Here is a 22,949-nt window from a genome sequence, read left to right as displayed (position 1 = left end):
AAGTGATGCTGCATATTTTCTGGACTCAGGCCTTGATAAACTAACAGCTTCCACTTCTTGTCTTTTGGAGCACTGGCTCTGGGGGAAGCCAGACACCACATAAGAAATTCAAACTAGCCACTTGAAAAGATGACTGGCCAACTTCAACTGTTCTAGCCATCTGAGCCCAGGTGCCAGACATGAGAGAAGAAGTCCCCTAAATATTCCAGCCTCAGCAGGTGCAATCTAGAGAAGAACCAGGAAACAGCCATAGCTGAGAAGACAGATATATGGCCCCACTAAAACCATTCAATCATCTACAGTTATTTGAGCCATCGGAGCTGAGGCTGCAGTCTAGAAGGAGCAGAGAGAAGCTATCCCCACTGTGCCCTGCCCAGTTTTCCAGTGCACAAAACTGTGAGATAAAATTAAACAGTCATTGCTTTATATTACTAAGTTTTAGGAAGTTTGTTATGCAGCAGTAGATAACTATTTCATTGCCTCATAAATGGAGTCCAGCCTTTCATAGGTGGAGACTCAGCTCTTTTGTACCCATGGGCCTTGTATTTCTTATGCCTACTGGGGCCTGGTTCTCTCTCATACACAGAGCCATGACCTTCTGATCACTGACAGCTACAGAGAACTGACCCTGTTAAATATACAAAAATTCAACCCTCTCACTTGAGGAACCTGCCCTCTTACCACACAGGGACACAACCTTCTCATAGCCACAGAAAACTGCTCTTGACATACACACAAGGACTGAATATCCTCCCATCTGGGGACTCAGACCTCTCACACACCTGGTACACCATCTTATAATTACACCCACTTGGAAAGTGGTGCTCGTTTTGGTGACCTGCCCTCAGAGGTGCCTCTGTCTCTCATAAGCAGGGCTTAGCCTTGCTCAATCCCTCTGTCTCCTCTCCCACCTCCCCGCTTCTCTCTCTCACACACACACTGATACAGCACCCACCTCCTCCCCTGTCTTTCTCTTTTCAGCTACAATCCACACTTAACAGTGCCTTGTGGAGACTATGAGGCTACCTTTAGAGTTTGATGCATGAGTTACTTCTAATGACAGAAATTTCAAACCTCTTAGGAGGGGAGGGTGGTGATGGGGTAGACGGCTGGGAAAGGGAGTGGAATTGAGTGTGATGTTTGTGGCCATGCTGTCACAGAAGGAGCACACACTAAACCAGAAGACCTAAGACCCAGAATATCCAGCCCCCATTACTGCTGTAAATTTGAATTCTTATCACTCTTCAGCTCACTGAGCTGCAATTTCCTCACCTTTAAAGGGAGCACAATCACCTCACAGACCACACTCTCCATAACTGCTGCTGACATGCTCAAATCCATGCTCTGAGTCCCTTCAGTAAACAACTCCATACTAGATGACCCAAGAAAAGGGAAAACTCCCTCCCTAAATCCTCCAATGACACCAGGAGCTTACATCTTGAATGAAGGAGGAAAAGGAGTTATTTAATTTCTGGGTAAGAGAAAATAGCCAGGAGAAAGAGATTTTGTTAATGACACACTTCCAAGAATGCTAGATCCACTAACAGTTATCAGGTATGGGTCAAAAAGCAGTTAGAAATGTAAGAGTCAATTAAAAACCCATTGTACCTTATCAAAAAGAATCTATGTTACTTGTCTGTGGGCTCAGCTGTGATCACTGAGCTGAAAAGAAAGCTGACTGAGGTGGCTCCCTCCTTTCCTCAAAAGGCACACCCAGCAATCTGTGAAATTATGTTCTACAGACCCAAAACAAGAGTAGTGATTTGGTATTTAAAATTTGCTTGGCTTAAGTTGGGCACGGTGGCTCACTCCTATAGTCCCAGCTACTCAGGAGGCTGAGGCAAGGTGGGAGGATCTCTTAAGCCTGGGAGTTTGAAACTGGCCTGGGCAACATAACAAGACCATGTCTCTAAAAATATATACATAAAAAAGAAAATAAAAATTGCTTAGCTTGCCACTATAGAACATTCCGCAGGCTTTGGCAATAGAGGTGCAGATTAGGAAAAGCCAACAGGACCAAGAGGAACCATGAAGGAACAGCCACCGCTATATCCTTATCTGCTTCAAGAGAGAACCCACTTGGGCACCTAGAGCAAGAATGTGAAAGGATCCATAGGAAGCACCTGGGAAACTGAGACAAATGGATGGAAATGCCTCCAGAGGACAGAAACTGAGGAACTTGCTATTAAATTGCATCTTTATTTTTCTATTTGCTTCTGTTTTGATAAAACATCTGGCCCTGAGTTTTGTGTTTAGAAAATGATGCTGATTCACCAAATTATCTTCACCTTCTTTCCAGGTCTCAGGCTGGCAACTGTTCTTGTTTTGGAAGATTTCAAAATGGGAACTGGGGTTTAAAACTCAGGACAAGTTGTAGCCACTAGAATCTTAAAGAGCCTTTAAAGTTACAAATGGATCTTTGAGAGGCTGATGAAACTATGGACACCCTCCCCCAGATAATATATACATACATGTACACATGAGTTTGCAAACAATTTCAGGCAACTTGAGTCAATTGGACTCAACCAATAAGAAGTGAAATGAGTTGCCCAAGTTCACATACTAGTTAGAGGAAACCAGCATAGAACCCACCCATGTCTTCTGTCTTCCAGTGTAGTATATTTTGTGCTCCACGTTATGTGCATTGGAAAACAGGCCTTTCAAACTATAAGCTCCACGAGGGCAAGTCCTATTCACCAACCTAGCACCAAAGTGCCCAATAAATAAGTGACCTGTTCACTTACTGATGGAAAAGAGTAACAACAACAACAACAGAAAACTTCCAAATCCACAATAAAAAAAGCAGATTAAGAATCATTATCAGGCTGAGGCAGGTGAATGAGGCAGGTGAATGGCGTGAACCCGGGAGGCGGAGCTTGCAGTGAGCCGAGATCCCGCCACTGCACTCCAGCCTGGGCGACAGAGCGAGACTCCGTCTCAAAAAAAAAAAAAAAAAAAAAAAAAGAATCATTATCAACAGTTTTGTTTCTATTGTTTCCAGTTCTCAGCAGACTTGAGCTTCCATTCAACTCATTCCAAAATAAATGGTTTTTACACACACACACACACACACACACACAGAGATACACAAAGAATCACCCATTGGTGCTTACATAGATGCATTGATAAAAATATCATAAAATCATATTTTAGTAATATTGATAATGTTTTTTCTAAGTCGCATTTTTTCTCCACTAACGTGCTTGTTTACAAAATACCTTTGTTTGGCATTTTCTAAATCACACTACCATATAAAACCCAAATCTTCACTTTTCAAAAGAATTACAGAGTAGCATCTGTTGTATGTAGCACTACTAAATCAGGCTACAATTAATTTTAACTTATGTGGGCATATGTACATGGTAAGTACAGTTTCTTATACAATTATTAAATGTAATCAGCCTATTACTTTTCAGTTTCAATCCTAGTGCCTTTTATTCTTGAAAAAGCACACTCCCTAACTCTCTTACTTCATGCCCCAGCCAGGTCAGTTTCAAGCCCTCTGTGTGATTACTGATGAAATTTCTCTTAGCTTTTACTACATATACTTCTTTACTTCTTTCTTATATTTGTCTCTTTCCAGGCTCAGTTCTACAAATATCATTAATCTATACAGGGAAACTTCTCATCAGAACACAGAATTTCCTATATTTCCTTCTTTAATCACCTCCCCCAACTACACACTTCTATCTCACTCAGCTCAGCCACAGGTGGGACCCCGCCCTCAGCCTGCGACCAACACTAGCCTTCTCCCCTCATCTGTCCAGGAAGCTTTTTAGAAATCAGTAAAGATGTGATGTAGTCTTGAGTGTAGTCTTGCTATGCCAGGGATGCCAGAAGCCATATCCTTTTCCTCTCTGTCCGAGTACAGCCAGGAGAAAGGCATATGACTGAAGCTCAATGAATTAGATGTTCTCTTCCAGGACTTTGAATCTTGAGCTGGGCGACACAAGGACCAAACAATCAGATTACTTAGTGCTCACACCCTAACCTGTCCCTTCCTGCTGGAGGATGGTGGTTGGGGCTTCTGCTTCCTAGGTCTCCAGGCTTCCCGTTAATTCTGCAAGTCCCCTCCCTGCATCAACACCACCTAAGCCTATCAAATTCTCTTTCATTTAAGTCAGCTCAAGAAATTCCTGTGGTTGCAGCAAAATAACCCTGACTGATTCATGAAGAAATCCAGGGAGCAGGCTAAACCAGGCCATTCCACTTCCTCTTTGATGCCACAGTCATGATCATACCACTAGAAGGTGGTTAATTGCTTCTCCTCCACCAGCTACTTCAGAAGGTCACTTTGTCAACAGGGAAACAGGCCTCTTAATCAAGAGATAAGACATCTGGATACCGGCTCTGGCTGTGCCAATAACCAGCTATGAATCTCAATGTTATCCACTCACTCTCAACGTGGCAAGTAGTAGTGCCAGCTTATACTTATTAAGGACTTAATACATGCCAGGCATTGTTCAAAGTGATATATATATATATATTTATGTATAAACACATACATACATATATGCACACACATATATATATAATTTAGATTTATATATATATATATATAGTCGTTTACTCCTTATAACAATCTTATGAATAAATTACAGTTTTCCCTATTTTTCAGAAGGAAAACTGAGGCATGGGGAGGTTAAGTATCTTACTCAAAGTTACACAGCTAGGAAGTAGCTTGAACCCAGAAAAGCTAGCTCAAGGATATGTACTCTTAGCCACTATACTATGCTGCTCCTGTGGGTCTTGGTGTCCTTTTCTCTAAGTTGTAACTGGACTACTTTGAAGATACTGAGATTTATACTCTAATCATTAGACCATTGTGACCCAGTATCATGGGTCCAGGACTGCTCCACACATAATGGTTTAAGGTTTTAGCTCTTTCAGAAAAGCCTTGGTCCCTCCTGTAAGCTCCAGATGAATGTTTCTTCTGAGTAGTACCCTCATAACCCATCTAATCAAGATAGAGACCAGCTTTCCTCCCGCCACATCAATGATTGTCGCTTTAACTGTATTTTTTCCTATTGCTGCTGTAATAAACTGCCACAAACTTAGTAGTTTAAAACAACACAAATTTATTCTTTTACAGTTCTGGAGCTCAGAAGTCTAAAATGGGTCTCACTGGGCAAAAATGAAGGTATTAAGCGTCTCTGTTTCTCCTGGAGGCCTTAGGAGAGAATCTGTTTCTTTTCCAGTGCATAGTGGCTGCCTACATTCCTTGGCTTGTGGGCCCTTCCTCCAACTTTAAAGACAATAGTGCATCATCTTCAACTTTTTCTTTAATTATGACACCTGCTTTGGTCATTACATCTTCTCTGACTCCTTTAAGGAACCTTGTCATTACATTTAGGGCCAACCCAGATAATGCAGAATAATCTCCTGGTCTTAGGGTTCTTAATCAAATCTGCAGTCTGTTTGGTCATATAACATATTCACTTCCTGGGAAGATTAAGGTATCAAAACCATTGAGGGGCCATTATTCTGCCTACTACAACTATCTGAATACACAACAGTTAAACTTACCACCACAATGTTTCCTGTTTTAGACATCTGAATCCAGAAATAGGAGAATTCCACATTTCTTTGAATATTCTAAGTGAATATTTCTTAAAGGGTCTAATCCTTCTTCTGACTGTGCCAGGTAAATGGAGGCAGATACCCAGAAGAAGAGAAGATCATGAGTTGGAAATCTGTCTGATCAAACTGCAAAGATTTTCCAAGACTCTATTGTTCAATGTATTCTTCAGTCTCTCTTTTTTTACTTAAATTCAGAAGCAGTTGGCTTTTAAAGCCCAGTGAAGCCCCCAGTTCCTGGATTCTAAATTTCTACATTTCCTTCCATTTTGAATCTCATACCAACCAATTTTTGCTTGATTATCTTGTCTAATACAGCAAAAAGAAGCCAAGACACATTAATAGGCTCTTTCCAGCCAATACCTTTCATGTGACAGTCTTAACAGGCAAGTGGTCTAACTCATCCCCTTCCTAGCTATGTGGTCTCTGATGAGTTACTTTATTTCACTGAACTCCCTTTTTTGATGAAAGAAATTGTTCTCTTTTCCATTTACCTAACAGTCTAACTACTGGTATCTCAATGGCAAAGATAATAGCTTTTCATCATTTTCTTCACATCCTCATGTCAGCCTATTGCTTATATGAAGAATACACTCAGGAAGTAAATGCTCCCTCAGGTACATTTCTAAAAACCATATTTATTCTACCAACCAGCATGCTTTGCATATACTAGATGCTCAGTAATGTTAGGTATCATTATTTTCTCCCTTCTTCTTTTCCATTTGTTCAGAATCAGAGAAACTTGCCTCTGCAAGGAAATGGTGGTACAGAAAAAAGCATAGTACACATGCTTTTCTACTTGATTAAAATTTCACAGTCCATCTAGTTACCCTATAACCATTGAGGAAACTTCCCAATTTCTGCCACACATTCTTTGTTTAATAGGATAAAGGCTCATTTCAGAGATTGCTAGAAAGCACTTTTCATTACGACCTACTTTTAAAATTCATGGCCTCAGGGTATTTATAATTCAACCAGAGAATCAGAGTACATGGAGGAGAAAACAACCTTCCTTAGACCACTGGTTGCAAACTAGAGGCCACAGAACACATCAGCCCATGGGCATGGTTTGTTTGTGTGTGCTATAATAGTAAAAAAAAATTTTTGATTTGGTTTCTAACATTTAAAAACCAAAAGACATCATATTAAAATTGAATTTCTTGCTTCTGATTAAAAAAAAAAACAGGAAAAGCTGACCACATTGGGTCCACAGTACCACAAGGTAACAATGTGCTTACTTGAGAGTAGCTGCTCCCTTTGCACAGGGCTACAACTCTGCAGTTTGTCTCAGTTCCCCCATCTCTCTTAATCCCCATACTCTCCTACTTGGCCCTGTAAGCAACTGAGTTTGTGACCCTTTGTTCTGGATCCTATGATCTGCAAGGTATAACTAGACTTTTTATTTGCATAGTCTCTATTCCTTCAGGAGAAAATCTGTTGGATCAATGCACATTATTTTCTATGTTTTCTAATATTCTATGCAAATTATCCCTACATTTGGAAATGTTCCTCTCACCAGCTGATCCAGGGAAGGCTCGGATGCCATGGCCAGACCTGTGTTTCAGCCAGCTTTAACTGGATCAAAGACAGATTGAAGGGAGGAGAGAATAGTTAAAAACTAGAGCAATAGCTTAGAAGAGAGGGAATGGAGGTTTGAATTAGGGCAATGGTAGTGACAATGGAGAAATGACAGATGTGGGAAATTTTGAAGAAGCAGAATCAATAGGAGGTAACAACTGATTGGATTTTAGTATTTAATTACTCTTCACTTCCTCCATGAAGCTCTTACTGGACTTTCTACACCCACTTCCTCACTTTAGTCAGACTCTACTGCTCATTCAGAAAAGCCTTGGTCCTTCCTGTCAGCTCATATTTTTATCTCTGCCTAATGTTCTGATAGACTGCTTACATACAAGTGGCAAAGGAAGTAGAAGAATTCAGGATCAATCTTAAATTTTAGGTGGAAAGACCAACCAGGTGCCTTTAATGAAGACAAAGAGTACAGAAAATGATCAACATTTGTTTTCATCTTTGGGGGGTGGGTGGGACACAGAAGGCTGGAGATAAGGGAAATTAGGAGTTTAGTTTGGCACATAAAATTCAAGCAATGGATGGCGATATCTATGTCTAGTAAGTAGTGGTATTGTTTAATGGTCAGTCACATGGACTAGAATCAGAATGCCTAGGTTCGAATCCTAGCTCTGCTAGTTCCTAGCTCTGTGACATTGGGTAAGTTACATAACATCTCAGTGCCTTGATTTCTCTGAAACATGGGAATTAATAATGTGTCTGCTTCATAGGGGTAGGGCAGTAATAAGACTGGGAACTAAGAAAGAGACATGAGCCATTACAGTTGTAGACAATGAATGTGCTCCCTTAGGAAGACCCTGTGGAGAGGAAAGGAAGCCAAGTGCAGAGCCCAGCTGTGAGGCAGAGTGGCAGATGGGGCCCAGAACATCAGTTCTCAAATGTGGCTGCATATTGTAATCACCTGGAGAACTTCCAAAAAATACTGATGTTTGGGTCTTACTCCCAGATATTCTGACTGAATTGTTCTGGCATGTGGCCTGAGTGTTGGGAGTTTTAAAAGGTACCCAGGCAATTCTAACAGATACCAATTTTGGGAGCCGTATCCCTAAAGAAAGACACTAAAGACCTAGGATTTCTTATTTTAAAATGGGCTCCATCCATTAAAATGTAGATTCAAATGTAAATTCTAACAAAGTCCTTTTTTTATAACATTATTATATATCAGAGACTTGTTAGAAGATACAATAAAAATAATAGCTACCATTTGCTAGCAATTGGAGTGAAATACTGTACTGATTGTGAGCATGGGCTCTGAAATTAGGCGTAGGTTCAAATCACAGCTCCACTACTTACTTAGCTGTGTGGATTTGGGAAATTTCCTTATGTTATGTTGCTGTATTTTACTTTCCTCATCTAAAAAATGGGGATTATATCACTATTTGCCACACAGGGCTAATTGTAGGGTAAGTATACTAATGTGTGAAAATAACTTAGAACAGTGTTTGGCATACAGAAAACATTTAATAAAGGTTTGCTATGATTATCCTGATTGTCACCATTGGGTGTTTATCCTATGCAAGACACTGTACTGTCCACTTAATAAGCAACAGGTTGAATTACTGAGATATTATTGGTGTCTTGTCTTTCTGCTACTGAGGACCCATCAACAAAAATAGACTAATTTTCCTTTTTCTTCTCAAGAGATGGTCTGATAGACCTTCAAGTCTCAATTGCACTACGGGGGTGATAGCTTTTATGTTTCAGGCTCAACTGGGAAGATTAAGCTGGTCTATACCAGGATGCTGAAGAATCAGGCTGAGTACTTAATCGTAAGGATACCTGTGTTCAGAGAAGGCTGAATTCACTACCCTAGCAAGTTTACAACAGAAGAGTAAGGTACTGTTTGGGAAGAAATAAGACCCTGAAACTTGTAATAGGGACATCAGGTCTGGCATATTTGAAACTCTTGGAACTCCAGATCACACTGAACCATTTAAGCTTACAGAAGAGGCCCAGTCCTCCCTGTTAAAGGCTACCACTCCTCCATTGTTTGACCATAATACTGCAGACTATTTACTTGAAAAACAATATGGGCTTCATCAGTGTCTACCCCCATCTCCTCTCTTGGCCACCAAACCAATAACCAGGGTCAAGCTCTAACATAACCAGCTGGAGAAGCACTGGGTCTTCTAAGAGAAGAAAGGCACTATGCCCTGAAGGAGCACAGGACCTAGCAATACATACCAGCAGAGTCAGCACAGTATGTAGGACTGGATCCTCAGGGTGCTGGATCAAGGAGTACAAATGAGGTTGAATTAAGGAAGAGTTTATAGATATGGAAACGTGCTCCAGTGATACAGATTTTTTTTTTTTTGAGACAGAGTCTTGCTCTGTCACCCAGGCTAGAGTGCAATGGCGCAATCTCAGCTCACTGCAACCTCCGCCTCCCGGGTTCAAATGATTCTCATGCCTCAGCCTTCTGGGTAGCTGGGATTACAGGCTCATGCCACCACACCAGGCTAATTTTTGTACTTTCAGAAGAGATGGGGTTTCACTATGTTGGCCAGGCTGGTCTCAAACTCCTAACCTCATGGTCTGCCCACTTCGGCCTCCCAAAGTGCTGGGATTACAGGCGTGAGCCACCACACCCAGTCGTGATACAGAATTTAAATCCTGCCAAGGACTTTGGGGGATGGTAATAATACCCTTGTAGGATGACTCTAGGAAGCTTGCATGGTTCACAATAAGTCATGCCATAATTGCCATGGCAGAAGATGGAAGAAAAGATCAAATGGTTCAAAGAAGTAGGATGCTAAAATAGATATACTATGCAAGGCTAGAAAACCCATCAGTCAACTATGTTCAGTGAACCCAGAGGGATCAAAGGATACTCTGAGCATCTAAAATGATAAGAAATGCACTGCTAATCAAGCTACAAGCACATCAAGAAGCTTGACAGTGGCCACCTTCTCTAATCTAGGGCTAATTGTAGGAGATATTGTTATAGAACAACAGTGTTGGGCTCCCTTACAGCAATGGATCTGACAGGAATCATCAGAAACAAGGTGGGTACAATTATCATAGCAAATGGCGAAGTCAGAATGGCTACCAGTGGCACTTAACATACAGAGAGCTATCGACATGGTTAATATAATGCAGTGTCTCCAGGGCAAGATAGACGGGCAGCCAACCAGGATATTGATGGCCAAGTAATCAAGAGAAATTAAGGATGGATTATCAGGAGGTCAAGGGTAATTCTTCAGTAAAAATCTCTCACACAATTTTCATCAATTTCATATCTGAGCAAGTTTTCAGACTAGAGCCCATTGATTGAAGAAGAGGCTGAGTTACAGAGCAAAAGGATTTTGTAACACCACAGCAAGTGTGTATGGTAATTACTTCCTCAGTTCTTCCCCCAAAAGACCTATGACCATTTACTCAAGTAACCATACACAGAGGGAAGAGGAATATCAAAATGTCTGAAGGGTTTTTGGACATCTATACCCCTTGAAAATCAAGTAGACAGGATTTGATGTAAGTCAGCATCTGTCATCAGCCATACCAGTTTTGGCACAACAGTCACAAAACAAAATATCCATGGTGGTAGAGTTGGAGAGTACACATAAGCCAGACATCATGAGGTCCCTTGTACTAAGTCTTATCTAGATTTCACTGCTGACCAACGTCCCGCCTGCCAGTGAAAAGGACCAGTGATCCTCCATATGGCACTATCCCTTGAGAAGACCAAATATCCAACTGGTGGCAAGTTGATTACATTCTAATAGAAAGGGGTAGTGAATAATTTTGACTGGAATTAACACATATTTTGGGTATAGATTTTCTTCCTTTGCTCATAAGTTCTTAGCCTGTACCACCATACAAGATTCTTACAGAATCTTTGATCCACCAACATGGAACCACACATAACATCACATTAAACCAAGTAAACCACTTTAGAGTGAAGCAGAGTTGGGAAGAGGTAGAAATACTCAGCAGCAGAGGGCATACTCATATGGGTATACTCAGATGAGTATGGGACCACTGCTCCTATCACATATCAAACATCCCAGAAGCTGCTGGACTCAGCTGACCTTTGGAAGACTCCCTGAGGTATCAGATTGGAAATAACACCTTTCAAGGCCAGTACACCACCAGTACTTAGAATATATGGATCTAGAATCATTAGGTAGATGGAGAAGTTGTCCCACTATCATCACTGTTAGTAACCCACTTGGTGAAATTGTGTCTCATCTTCACAACTCTAAGCTCTTTAGGTCTGTAGGTCTTGGTTTGCAGAGAGAGATATTTTCCGCAGACCATGTGTCTACTAGGGTATCTGTCAGTACTCTCCTACCCAATTTTGAAGGTCAAATGTAGCAGTTACGGACTGAAAAGGATGGTGACCAGTGTTTAAGACCCCTTAGAGATGACCGTCTGGGTTGCCTCACAAGATAAGCCACTTTGACTTGCAAAAGTGCTAGCTGAGGATGAGAGGAAACTAGAATGGATCTTAGAGGAGGTAAATGGTGAGAGTCAGCTGTGACCCTAAGACCAGCTGCATTGCAGGGCTGAGGTTCTTCTTCTAACCTTCTTCTTGTAAGCTTCCCCTTGAGAGAGGCTAACCAGAATTCTTGAGGACCTGTTCCCAGATGAGGTAACTTAATATTTCAAGACAGTGAACCTGAGCATGCAAGGAATAACCTGTAGTGCATGCTGTGGTGTGTTGTCCAGGCCACCCTTCAGGACCAAGACACACATTTCCCCAGACGCCAGGCAATGGCCACTGATAATGCACAATATAATTTCTCTAAGGAATTGCTCTTGGCTGAAGAGGGCCTCCTTGCCTAAGGTTCCGCCCCCTTCTACAGGCAATCAACTGCAATGGCTGATCAAAAACCAGGTCCTTTTGTCTCAACTCCAAATAACTCTGAAGGGCCATGCTAGCTCCAGAGTTCCCAGTAGGACTAGCTGAGGTCTTTGTCACAATTGCTTCACAGTTCAATTTCTACCTCTCCGCAACTCTGCTTCCTTCACTCTCTTATGTATGTGGTTCATAAAACCACTCCCCAAGAAGTTCCCTGCATGCAAATATCCATCTCAGAGTATGAGGGACTGGACCTATAGCACCAGGATACAAGTTTTGTATGTAATGAACACAAGAAAAACTGCCCTCCACCCCAAAAATTGCCCTTGATAGGAGAGGTAATGCCTGGATTCTAAAAAGAGATCTGTCTCCAAAGCACATAAATTATCAATAACATTTAAACAGAGAGAGATGCCAGGGAGAGTATGCCTAAAGAAGCCAAAATTCTGATTTTTACCAACAAGATCATCTAGAAAGTCACCTTGGACAGCAAAGTCTCACTAAAGCTTTTGGCATAGTCATGCATGAACTTTTCTAAGAGCATAGATTTTGCTCTCACCTCTTGAACTTATAGGACTGTCACTTCTCTGAGGAGGAAAGGTCAGTTTCCTAAGGGAAATCATTTTCTGATGAAAATGTATGGAAGGGTTTCAATGGCTTCACTGGTCTCCTTTATGGAGGAATGTACCAAAGATACCAACAGGAAAATCATCATAATGATAAAATACAGATTTCTATATAGTCCCTAATGGGAAGAATGGGAAACAGAGCTTGTGTCCAACTGCCTCCGTTTCTCAAATAGAATTTTTAACCTTGGCCAGAGTATTTCCAGAATGGCTTTATACTAACTTGTACCAGAGATAAAATCTCCCTGCTAAAATAGCTATAATATTAGTCACCTTAGGGGGATGCTGTCAGGCTTTGTAAAGTACTTTGTAGCTCCTCAGATAAAAGCAGAGATAAAGCTGCAGTGTTATTATTTCTCAACTTGGAGGGCTATTTGGCTAACCCTCTGCATGAACTCACTCTAATAAACTGACTCAAAGCCTTATATAGGCTATAAATCCCATCGCCCACTTCATTTCAGCAATGACAGGGAAAACACGATGACCACTTGTTCTGTCGGCCTCAGGAAGTATCACCCTCCCACCCTGAGGAAAAATCAAAACTGAGCAATGAATTTCAGATGGTGTCTAATGAGATATACCATTTCTGTCCCCCAAATCCTAATGTCTTTAGACAAAATCATCTTAGGTCCTCAGTCTGTAAACCAAGATGCTCCATGATCCAACCCCAGCCTCCTCCTCCTCATCTTCATCATCTTAACTGAGGCAGGGATGGCTAACTGTACACCTAAACCCATGCTCCTCCAACCTGAGCCTAGAGAAGGTGCTGGGAAGCCTCCGTCTAGCCAGGAACTGTGTTTCTCACTACCTACTGCATCCAACTAGGGCTGCAGAACCCGTTTCCACCAAAAAAAGAAATGTTATTTTCAGGCCTATGTAAAGGCTAGGAGGAGTTGCGTTTTCCCCACTCCAATTGCTGTTGACTACATGTCAAGGGCACTGAGATTCCTGGGGGCAGTAAAGTCATTGAATTCAAGAATCCCTGAGAATAGGAACATCCGCATAAGACTGAAATATGACTAAAAATAGATATTTATTGTGTTAAGCATTGCAATGTGGAGGTTTATTTGGTACAATGTCTAATGTTCCCCTAACTATACAAGAACACCTTTTGAGCCACTGCTATGTGCTAGGAACTTTTCCAAGAACTTAACCTAAATATCTTTTACTCCTGACATTAAGCCTACAGGGTAGCTACTATTATTATCCACATTTCTCATATTGGAAAATGAGGCATGGAAAAGTTCAGCAAAATGTCCAAGGTAGCAGTGAAGCTAGAACCGGGACACAGGTCCATCTCAGTTCAGTGCTGCATCCTTAATGACCCCAGGATGCTGACTCCATTGACCTCCCTTCAGCTATAGCTTCATCCAAGTATGTACCTCACGGCTGTCTTACTGCCAGGAATGACTTTCCTTTCATCCCTCAATTCCTGTCAAATGCAACAAGGCACTGCTAAACTTCCAGCTGCCTCTGAAGCAGTCCTTCCTACTTATGATTCATGCGCCTCTCCTCAGCTTCACCTTAACACTCATGTGTCCTTCCATTACCAGAGAAGAATGCATTCCCTAATGAGACTGTAAATCTCGGAAGTCAGCACTACCAAATCTAGCCCAGAGCTTTAAACATGCCCTGGCAGAAGTAGGTGCTCAGGAAATGTTTGCTGAATTGAAAACTTGCATTTGAAACACAGGGCAGTGAGACAGATGGCTGTTTTTCTTGATTATATGCTGAGAGAACTGCAAGATCCCAGGATCAAATGATGGCACAAATCCAGAAGAGTCTTGGTTGAGAAAGGAGAGGTTTTTCCACCCACTGCAGCTGAGCAGGGTGCTAATCCTCTGGTCACACACAGGGAACTGGTACTTAGGGCCAGCCACGTATCAGGAACACTGGGATGGAAGGGATCCTGCCTAAAACTGTATCTATCCTCCATGCCATAGACACAGTTCATTGAGGCCTGAATCTTTATGATTAAGGGTTCACTTCTTGACAAAGGGTGAATATTTTCAGGCATTCCTATCTTGATACAAATGGGTTTGTTAGGCCCTTTCCTGAGTGAGTTTTGAAGAACCCTAGCATAAGTGCAGACTTGAGGAGGGAGAGATCAGAATTCAGCAATGAGGGGAAAGAACAGTTAGGACTTGGAAGTCCAGGTTTGCCTGCTTCACAGGAGTGCTCATGGTTTGTCTGAGCCTGAGATTGGATCCACAGAAGATCAGACACCTCTTTTCAGAAGGGGAACGACTAGTGACGGCCTCTCTGCCTTATCCAAACCTGAGTCTTCTTGAAAGAGGATTAAAAATTCCTACTCTTGGCAAAGACTAAACACCAATGTTCTTTGGCAAAGATGCTGTGGTGGGTGGGAGTATATCAGCCACTAAAACGACCCTAGGGCAGCAAAGTACACACAATTAGTTTCTAGAGCTTCATTGTCTACTCCAATCAGTTTCAGGAATCACCTGTCACCATCTCCCTCTAGTGCCAGAGAATGAAGTTTGTGCAGAGTAAAATGATGAAAGAGCCAAAATTTGCTAGAACAATACTGGTCTTGAATGTTCCAGTGCTAAAGGTTATAGGGGCTGTTAGCAAACTGTAAAGGACTAAACGTTGATTTGTTAATTATAGATAGCTAAACCAAAATAAACAATATTAGCAATCCTTGTCCCCTTGTCCCCAGCCTCAAAGGGTATGAAAAATGCAAATATATCTATATAACTTTTTATCATGTACTTGAACTGCACCCTCTCTTTCTAAATTTACCTTTCCTTTGGCAGGATGAAGCAAGTTACCCGTAGTCACTATTATTTATTTGGCTAGTAGTTTTCCCTCCCAAACATACCACCATAGATGGCTATCTTCTGCATCCTACTCTCTATCATGTCAAAGTTCTGCCCCATAATGTGGAACCTTACAGAGGCTTGCATCTATAGTATGAATTCAGATGTGCCATGAAGTCCCCAAAGGCTAAATACAATATTCCCTCTCCCAACCCCATCACTACGTCCTCCCCCACAACTGAACCTGTAATTTCATGCTCAGAGCACTGTCCCCTCTGGCTTCAGATTCTAGTTTAAGGTATAAATGCTCATGAAGGGAACATTCCTAAAACCATTAAATGAACTGAGAATACAAAAGTCAGCTTTTATTATTCAACGAATAATTTCCCCAACTCCTACTATGAGCTGGGCACATTGATTTGGTAAAGTTAACCCTAGATTTTAAGTCACAAGGAGAAGGGGGAGATACCAAGGCAAGTAAGAGAACTGCCACAGCCAAGACAGGATGACTAGATGTAATAAAGTATCCTGAATGGAAGCCTCAAAAAGAAAAAGACATTAGGCAAAAATAAAATCTTAGAGTACAGGCCGTACTTAATAATAATGTCTTAATATTGGTTCAGTAATTGTAACAAAAGTACCATAAAATGTAAAATGTTAATAATAGGGGAAATTGGGACTGGGAATAGGGGAAATATGGGAACTCTATGTGCTCTTACCAATCTTTTATGTAAATCTAAAGCTGTTCTTAAAAATAATTTTTGTTGTTTTTTTGTTTTTTGTTGTTGTTTTTGTTTTTGTTTTGAGATAGAGTTTCACTCTTGTTGCCCAGGCTGGAGTGTAATGGCGTGATCTCGGCTCACTGCAACCTCCACCTCCCAGGTTCAAGCAATTCTCCTACCTCAGCCTTCCAAGTAGCTGGGATTACAGGCGTGTGCCACCACACCCGGCTAATTTTGTATTTTTAATAGAGACAAGGTTTCACCATGTTGGCAAGGCTGATCTCGAACTGCTGACCTCAGGTGATCCACCCGCCTCGACCTCCCAAAGTGCTGGGATTACAGGCATGAGCCACAGCGCCCGGCCAAAGTATTTTTTTAAAGTGAAAGAAAGAAAAAGGCTGAGAGCACCAATGATGGTGGCAGAGGCATCCATAACTATTCCTGTTCAAATAGTGCCCAAATTTCCTTTAAAAAAATCACCTCTCTGGTCGGTAGCTTGGGTGGACTGACCCATGCCCAGCGCCGGTGGAAGAGTTCTCATTGGCTTAAGCCTAATAGTGTCCCACCCACCCAGCCACAGTGATTGGTTTAAAATAGGTCATGCAGCCAATCAGAGCAGCGGGATTCCAGGTCCTGCTTGCTGAAGCCTTAGGGAGGAAAAGCTTTCACTCTCAGGACAAGAATGTGAGAATTATGGGGCGTCAGATGCTACACCTCCCTTGTGACCATGAAGAGAAGGACACCGATGGACACTGTGAGACACAGCTCACATCCAAAGGGAACTATGCTGAAAAACGGACCCTGGTGCCATCCTTCGAGCTTCCCTGATAACGTCTGCCGTTAAGAAGAGCGACTTCTAGGTTCCTGCCATCTACAGCATGGACAATTCCAACTCATCCTATGGACTGACAGTTACAGCATGGCTTGTGGCCGCCTGACCGCGCGGAGCATGGTGCACCAGGAGCGAAGCCCTGCCGTGTTGGTCACAGGACCTGTAGCAGAGACAAGTTCGTTGAAAAGGACGTGTAGTCACAGCTTTAATAGTGCTTGCTTATGAATTTGAAAGTAGAGCAACAAGTCGAATGAGGTAGCGTTAGGCAATAGGCCCCTTGGTTTCATTCCAAAGAGTCTATCAAAAGCAAGTTATCTTCCAGTTCTGGGCCAGACCAAGTAGAGGTCAAAAGTCCAAGGCCTTATTTGGGTTCTGTATTGGGTTTTCAGCCAAGAATAAAAAGCTGGCCCTTTATGGGCCTCAGAGGCAATAGCCTTTTCTCTCTGTTCACCCTATATTCATTCTCAGGGCTTAGCACATCAGCAAGTTTCTAATAAGAGCTCAGTAAATACATGCTGAATAAAATAAATGCTGAAAATGCTTTTATTTAACTGTAGAATACGTTATCTAGATTTTTAAAAATTCTGTTATAATAGCTTGTCTAATCCAGTGTCTTCAAAGCAGAAACTTTGAGGCAAATCACAAGACTGGATGCCCAATGCCAACATTTTAATGGGGAGCTCAATAAAGTTCTCAAAACTCATCACCTGAGCTACAGAATGCCCTCACCTCGAGGCTTGTTTTTCACTCTTCAGAAACCTAGCCATATGATTCAAGAAAGCCTTTCAAAGATGACCAGTCTGACATCCCGTTTTCTCTCACCAGCAGCATGTTCAAAAGTGCTGTGCTGGTTTAGACCTGCTAGTTCAGATTGATGAGTGAGAAATTTGCTGCTGTCATTAACTGCACCTTGCTAGACAGGAAGCAACTTTTTAAAAATAGCAATTCAGTATGTTGAAGAAAGAAAGTAAGACAGAACAATAACAGTCACCTTTCCTCCCATCTGAATTTACTGAGCCAAGAGCATGAGCACATTTTCTGCTGCTCAAAAGTAATGGCTGTCTCCTTAATAACATCTAGAGCATGTGGGGTGATTGACCTGCGCTTGACTGGGGCTTCTACTTGCTGATTCTGAATAACAGATGCATAAGGGGTTCAAATTAGTCTTCCACAATGTTTGGATTTTGTGAAGTGTTTGAAATGCTTGTCTTACTGTTAAGGAAACAACTCACAGAACTAAATGTAACCAGATGGGCCATGTGAAACACCATATTTGAAGGATTAGTTTAATTATGATTTAGGATCCTAAAAATTAGAATGTATTCATCCAGCCATCACCTACCTATTCAAAAAGTCCTTCATTCCTTCCTTTATTCATTCACTAGTCTTAATGTCCACTAAATAGTGTGGCATTTATGTCATGCTAGGTGCTGGGGATATACAATTACTCTGGCTGACATAGACCAATCAGACTCACCCCATACCCTAAAGTTCATCCCTCACTAAGTCAACCTTCACTGTAGCATTTATTTGCTTAACTGTTTATTGTCTCTCTCCCCTTCTCCATTAAAATTTCCATCCTAGTCCCTATCGCCCTGCCCTGTCAGCCCTTGATAGGTAAAGGTAACCATGGTGGTTTTTAAACATGCCCACAAATTCTGTAATACTCTTCTCTTCAAAAGTTGGAGTCTAATTCCCCTTCTGTTAAAAATGGTCTAGAGTTAGTGACTTCCTTCTAGCAAATAAAATATAGCAGAAGTGAGAGTCTGTGACTTCCCCAAGATGAGGTTTTAAAATGCTTGTGGCCTCCTCCTGGTTCTCTCTCTTAGAGCTCCTGCTCTGGGGAAGCCAGATACCATGTTTTGAGGACAATCAAGCAGCTTCATGGAGAGGCCTACAAAAATGAAGAATTGAAGCACCCCAGCAAGTGAAGAACTGAAGCCTCTTGCTAAAAGCCGGAAAGGAATTGAGGCCTCCTGCAAATAATCATGTGAGTGTCATTTTGAAAGTGGATCTTCAAGCCTCAGTCAAGCAATTTCATTGCAGATACTGAGTCAGAACCACTGACTAGCACATTCTTGAGTTTCTGGCCCCGAGAAACTATGAGATAATAATAGTTTTCTGTTTTGAATTGTTAAGTTTTAAAATAATTTGTTATGCAGTAATAAAAAACTAATATGACAATGGTCTAACAACCATAGCTTTGATGAATATAGTGGATTGGCACTCAGGATCCTTTCTATCCTTCTTTTAGACTGCCCACCATACCACAGAGACTAGAATGCTGAAAAACACACTATTACTACATTTTAGAAACTCCCTTGCAGCTAGGATTCAAAGAGTGTTTAGATTCTACCAATCAGAATGCCCTCCTGTGAGATATGGAAGGGGCAGGCAAGGAAAGTCTTATTTCTGTTGCCTCCATTAGTAGGCACATTTGTAGAGGGTTGTTTTGTGGCAGTTCTGACAGAGGCCCCAGCATCCTAGTTTTCTGATTACCAAGAATCAGGATTCAGAGTATTCATTTTTCTGTTATGGATTGTAATGGGCCTGATAGGGCTCTGGAGCTGACAGAAGTAGGGGCAAAGGATTTAAGATTATGAAAGGTTACTGATGTTGGATGCTTCCTGCTTGTGGCTATGCGGCCATGATTTTGAAACCAGCAGCTAAAGTGGAAACTTCTGAATTCAATAAGTAACTTCTTATCATACAAAAATTAGTGGTTCTTTTGGTGACATGGCTCCAGAGTGGAAATTTTGGAGATACTCTTGCAAATTCAATCCAGAGCCTATTTCCTCAGCCCTCTTAAATTTAGTAAACCTGTACTACACTTTAATAAGCTCCCTTCTAATTATACTAGCTAGACTAGATTCTGTTCTCTACAACAGAAACTGGATCAATATACCAGATCAATTTCAAGATTCATCCAAATATGTCTACCTGATTTAAAAAGTAAATAAAATGATGGACTCAGTCCTCAAGAACCATGGAATGTAACAGAAGTAGACATGTAAGAAATGTGCAAAAATAGTTGTGGATGTTGTTTATTCATATTCATGGATGTTTAGTAAGTCTCCTGTGTGTTAGACTATTGTAGGTTTGGGGAATACACCAGCTAAAAAGTAAACAAGCAAACAAAAAGACACTGTTCTTCTAAAGTTTACATTTTAATTGAGAGAGGGAGAGAGAGACAATAAACAGACAAGCAAATAAATGCCTCAATAAGTTTAGACATTGAGAAGAGCTATAAGTTATCAGGAAATGATTCAGGGGCCACTTTAGAATGAATAATCAGAGAAGGCTTTTCTGAGGAGGTGACATTTAAGCTGAGACCCAAATAATATGATGGGACCAACCACAGGAAGATCTGGAGAAAGAGTGTTTCAGATAGGGTAAAGAATGAGTTTAAAGGCCCAAGGTAGAAACAAGTGTATCTTATTTTAGTAATATAAAGAAGGCAAACATAACCTAAGTATAGTAAGTTAGGGGGAGAATGATGTAAGATGAAGATGGAGAGGTGAGCGGGGGTGAATCACACAAACTTTTGTAGAACATAGCAAAGAGTTTTTATTTTATTCAAAGTTTAATGAAAAATCACTGAAGTATTTTAAGTAAGGGTGGGAAAGGGCCTGATTTAGGTTTTACAAAGATCTCTGGCTGCTGCGTGGGCAACTAGATTGTAGAGAGGCAAGAGAAAAGGCAGGAAACTCTATGGTCATTTGGGCAAGCAATGGTAGGGTCTTGAATTAAATAGGAATAGGGATGATCATACATAGATGGATTCAAGAAACATTTTGGAAGGAGAGCTAATGGCAGGGGATAGTGGATATGGAGACAGTGGTGAATCGAAGATTACTGTGAGACATTTGATGAAGCAACTCAATGGATAGTAGTGTAATGTCTCACCTGATCCTCCACACTGCCTTTTATGTGTATTGTGACAGTATAAAAAGATGGAAGAAGCTTGGATCCTTAAGTTACTTCTTGAAGGAGAGCTACTCAACTAGCATTGGACTGAGACATGATCAAGAAATAAAACTTTATTGTAACAAGTCTTTGATATTTCAAGGCTTATTTGTTACTGTCAAGCCTAGCTAACCTTGACAGTTGGCTGTGAGAGTCTGGAGCTAAGAGAGGTCTTGTCTGGAAAAACAAAATGGGGAAGTCATTGGCAAATATGTGGAATTTAAAATTTGGGCCTGAAATAAGATCACATAGACAGAAAGGAGCATAACAGACAAAGTATAGAGAGGGCATGAAGAAGGGAGACATTACTCCTAGGTATAGTGGTAAGATGCTGGGAAATCAGTCAAAAAAGACTTCATAATGAAATAAAAACCTATATAAAGTATGAAGAGCTGTGCAAATACTCATCATAATTATTTAAAACAATCTCAAAATGAACCAGATATGTGAATGAGACATATGCAATAGAAAAATAATTATTTCCCTGAAATGTCCTTTCATCCTTTTCTAACTCTGAACCACCTCCTCTTGACTTTGACTTTGCCCTGCAGTGGCTGTATCTGATGGCTATCCTGTGCCAAATCAAAGGAGTCCTATGAATACCTACTCTTCCAGACATGAACTAGAACTTTCCCTACTCCTATCACCTTCATAACATACTTTCTGTACATACCAAACACTCAGAGACCTCCATTGCTACTACTAAGGGAGGAGACCACCCCTCATATTGTCTTATGCCCAATTTCTGCCTCCAAAGAAAGAAAAAGTAAAAACTAAAAGGCAGAAATGAAATCCACAAGCAGACAGCCTGGCGCCACACCCTGGGCCTGGTAGTTAAAGATTGACCCCTGACCTAATCGGTTATGTTATCTATAGATTACAGACATTGATAGAAAAGCATTGTGAAAAAAAATAAAATAAATAAAAATAAAGATTGACCCCTGACCTAATCGGTTATCTATAGATTACAGACATTGATAGAAAAGCACTGTGAAGATATCCTGTTTTGTTCCGATCTACTTACTGGTGCATGCAGCCCCCAGTCACGTACCCCCTGCTTGCTCAATCGATCACGACCCTCTCACGTGCACCCCCTTAGAGTTGTGAGCCCTTAAAAGGGACAGGAATTGCTCACTCGGGGAGCTCGGCCCTTGAGACAGGAGTCTTGCCGATGCCCCCGGCCGAATAAGCCCCTTCCTTCTTTAACTCGGTGTCTGAGGAGTTTTGTCTGCGGCTTGTCCTGCTACACTACTTAGATAGACATGTAATTCATTAAATATTTGCTGAGTTCTTGCCAAGGACCAAGTAAGGTGCAGAACTCCACATGTAAAGGTGAATGAGATAGATTTCCTAGTTTCAGAGCTCCCATGTGGAGAAAGAGACAGGCTTGAAAACAAATCACTTCTACCCACCATGGTGAGTAAAGAGTGCTGTTGGGGCACAGCTGTCATTGGGGGTATAGAGAGGCTTTCCTGTTTTTTTTAAAAAAAGTATAATTTTGTTGGTAAGAATTAGTAGGAATAGCCAAGCCAAGAAGTAGGGAGAGAATATTTTTAAAAAGGAAAAAACAGCAAGGAAACTGAGGTAAGGCATTTGTTGAGCTACATGCATGTATATAATGAGGCGTACAGTTAAAGCAAATGTAGAGGAAACAAGGCCAGTGTGCAGGGGTCAAGTCACATAAAGCTTGGTGATGCATGTTAAGAGGCTGGGACTTTGTCTTATAGGAAAGATAAGAGAGACACTTTAAAGGAATTTAAGAGGGGAATGGCATGATTGAATTCTTATTAAATTGTTCACTCTAGTGGCTGCATGACAATGGACCAAGCACAAGTAAGGAACATCAGTTTGGAGATGGTGCAAGAATTCAGAAAGAGTTGATGAGAGCCTAAGCCAGGGCAGTCACAATAGGAACACAGAATTGGACAGATTAGAGAGGTGGAAAAGAGAAAGTCAACACAACTTGGTTTTTATGGATGTGGAAGGATTCTAGAAGGACTCTATGCTTCCAGCTCAGGAATCTGGGTAGATGAAGCAATTCACTGTGATAGG

The 22,949-nt window shown here is 41.3% G+C and overlaps 2 protein-coding genes across 7 annotated transcripts in view, besides 1 other annotated feature; both read right to left on the bottom strand.

The window, feature by feature from the left end:
* IQCJ-SCHIP1 (IQCJ-SCHIP1 readthrough) overlaps positions 1 to 22,949 on the bottom strand; it is an 828,041-nt gene that overhangs the window by 692,768 nt on the left and 112,324 nt on the right. The gene's annotated exons all lie outside the window — the stretch shown is intronic.
* The window catches only part of IQCJ (IQ motif containing J), a 196,989-nt gene that overhangs the window by 61,716 nt on the left and 112,324 nt on the right, over positions 1 to 22,949 (bottom strand). The window lies entirely within an intron of this gene.
* Positions 18,558 to 18,617: an enhancer, noted in NCBI's record as "active region_20753". NCBI's record gives its function as "activates an Ori minimal core promoter by ATAC-STARR-seq in GM12878 lymphoblastoid cells {active_cell/tissue: GM12878}" and the evidence as "EXISTENCE:reporter gene assay evidence [ECO:0000049][PMID:35858748]".

The sequence above is a fragment of the Homo sapiens genome, chromosome 3, assembly GCF_000001405.40.
Source record: "Homo sapiens chromosome 3, GRCh38.p14 Primary Assembly".
NCBI classification, from domain to species: Eukaryota; Metazoa; Chordata; class Mammalia; order Primates; family Hominidae; genus Homo; species Homo sapiens.
The sequence above is the reverse complement of the archived record's forward strand: the minus strand, read 5'-3'. Positions and strand labels throughout refer to the sequence as shown.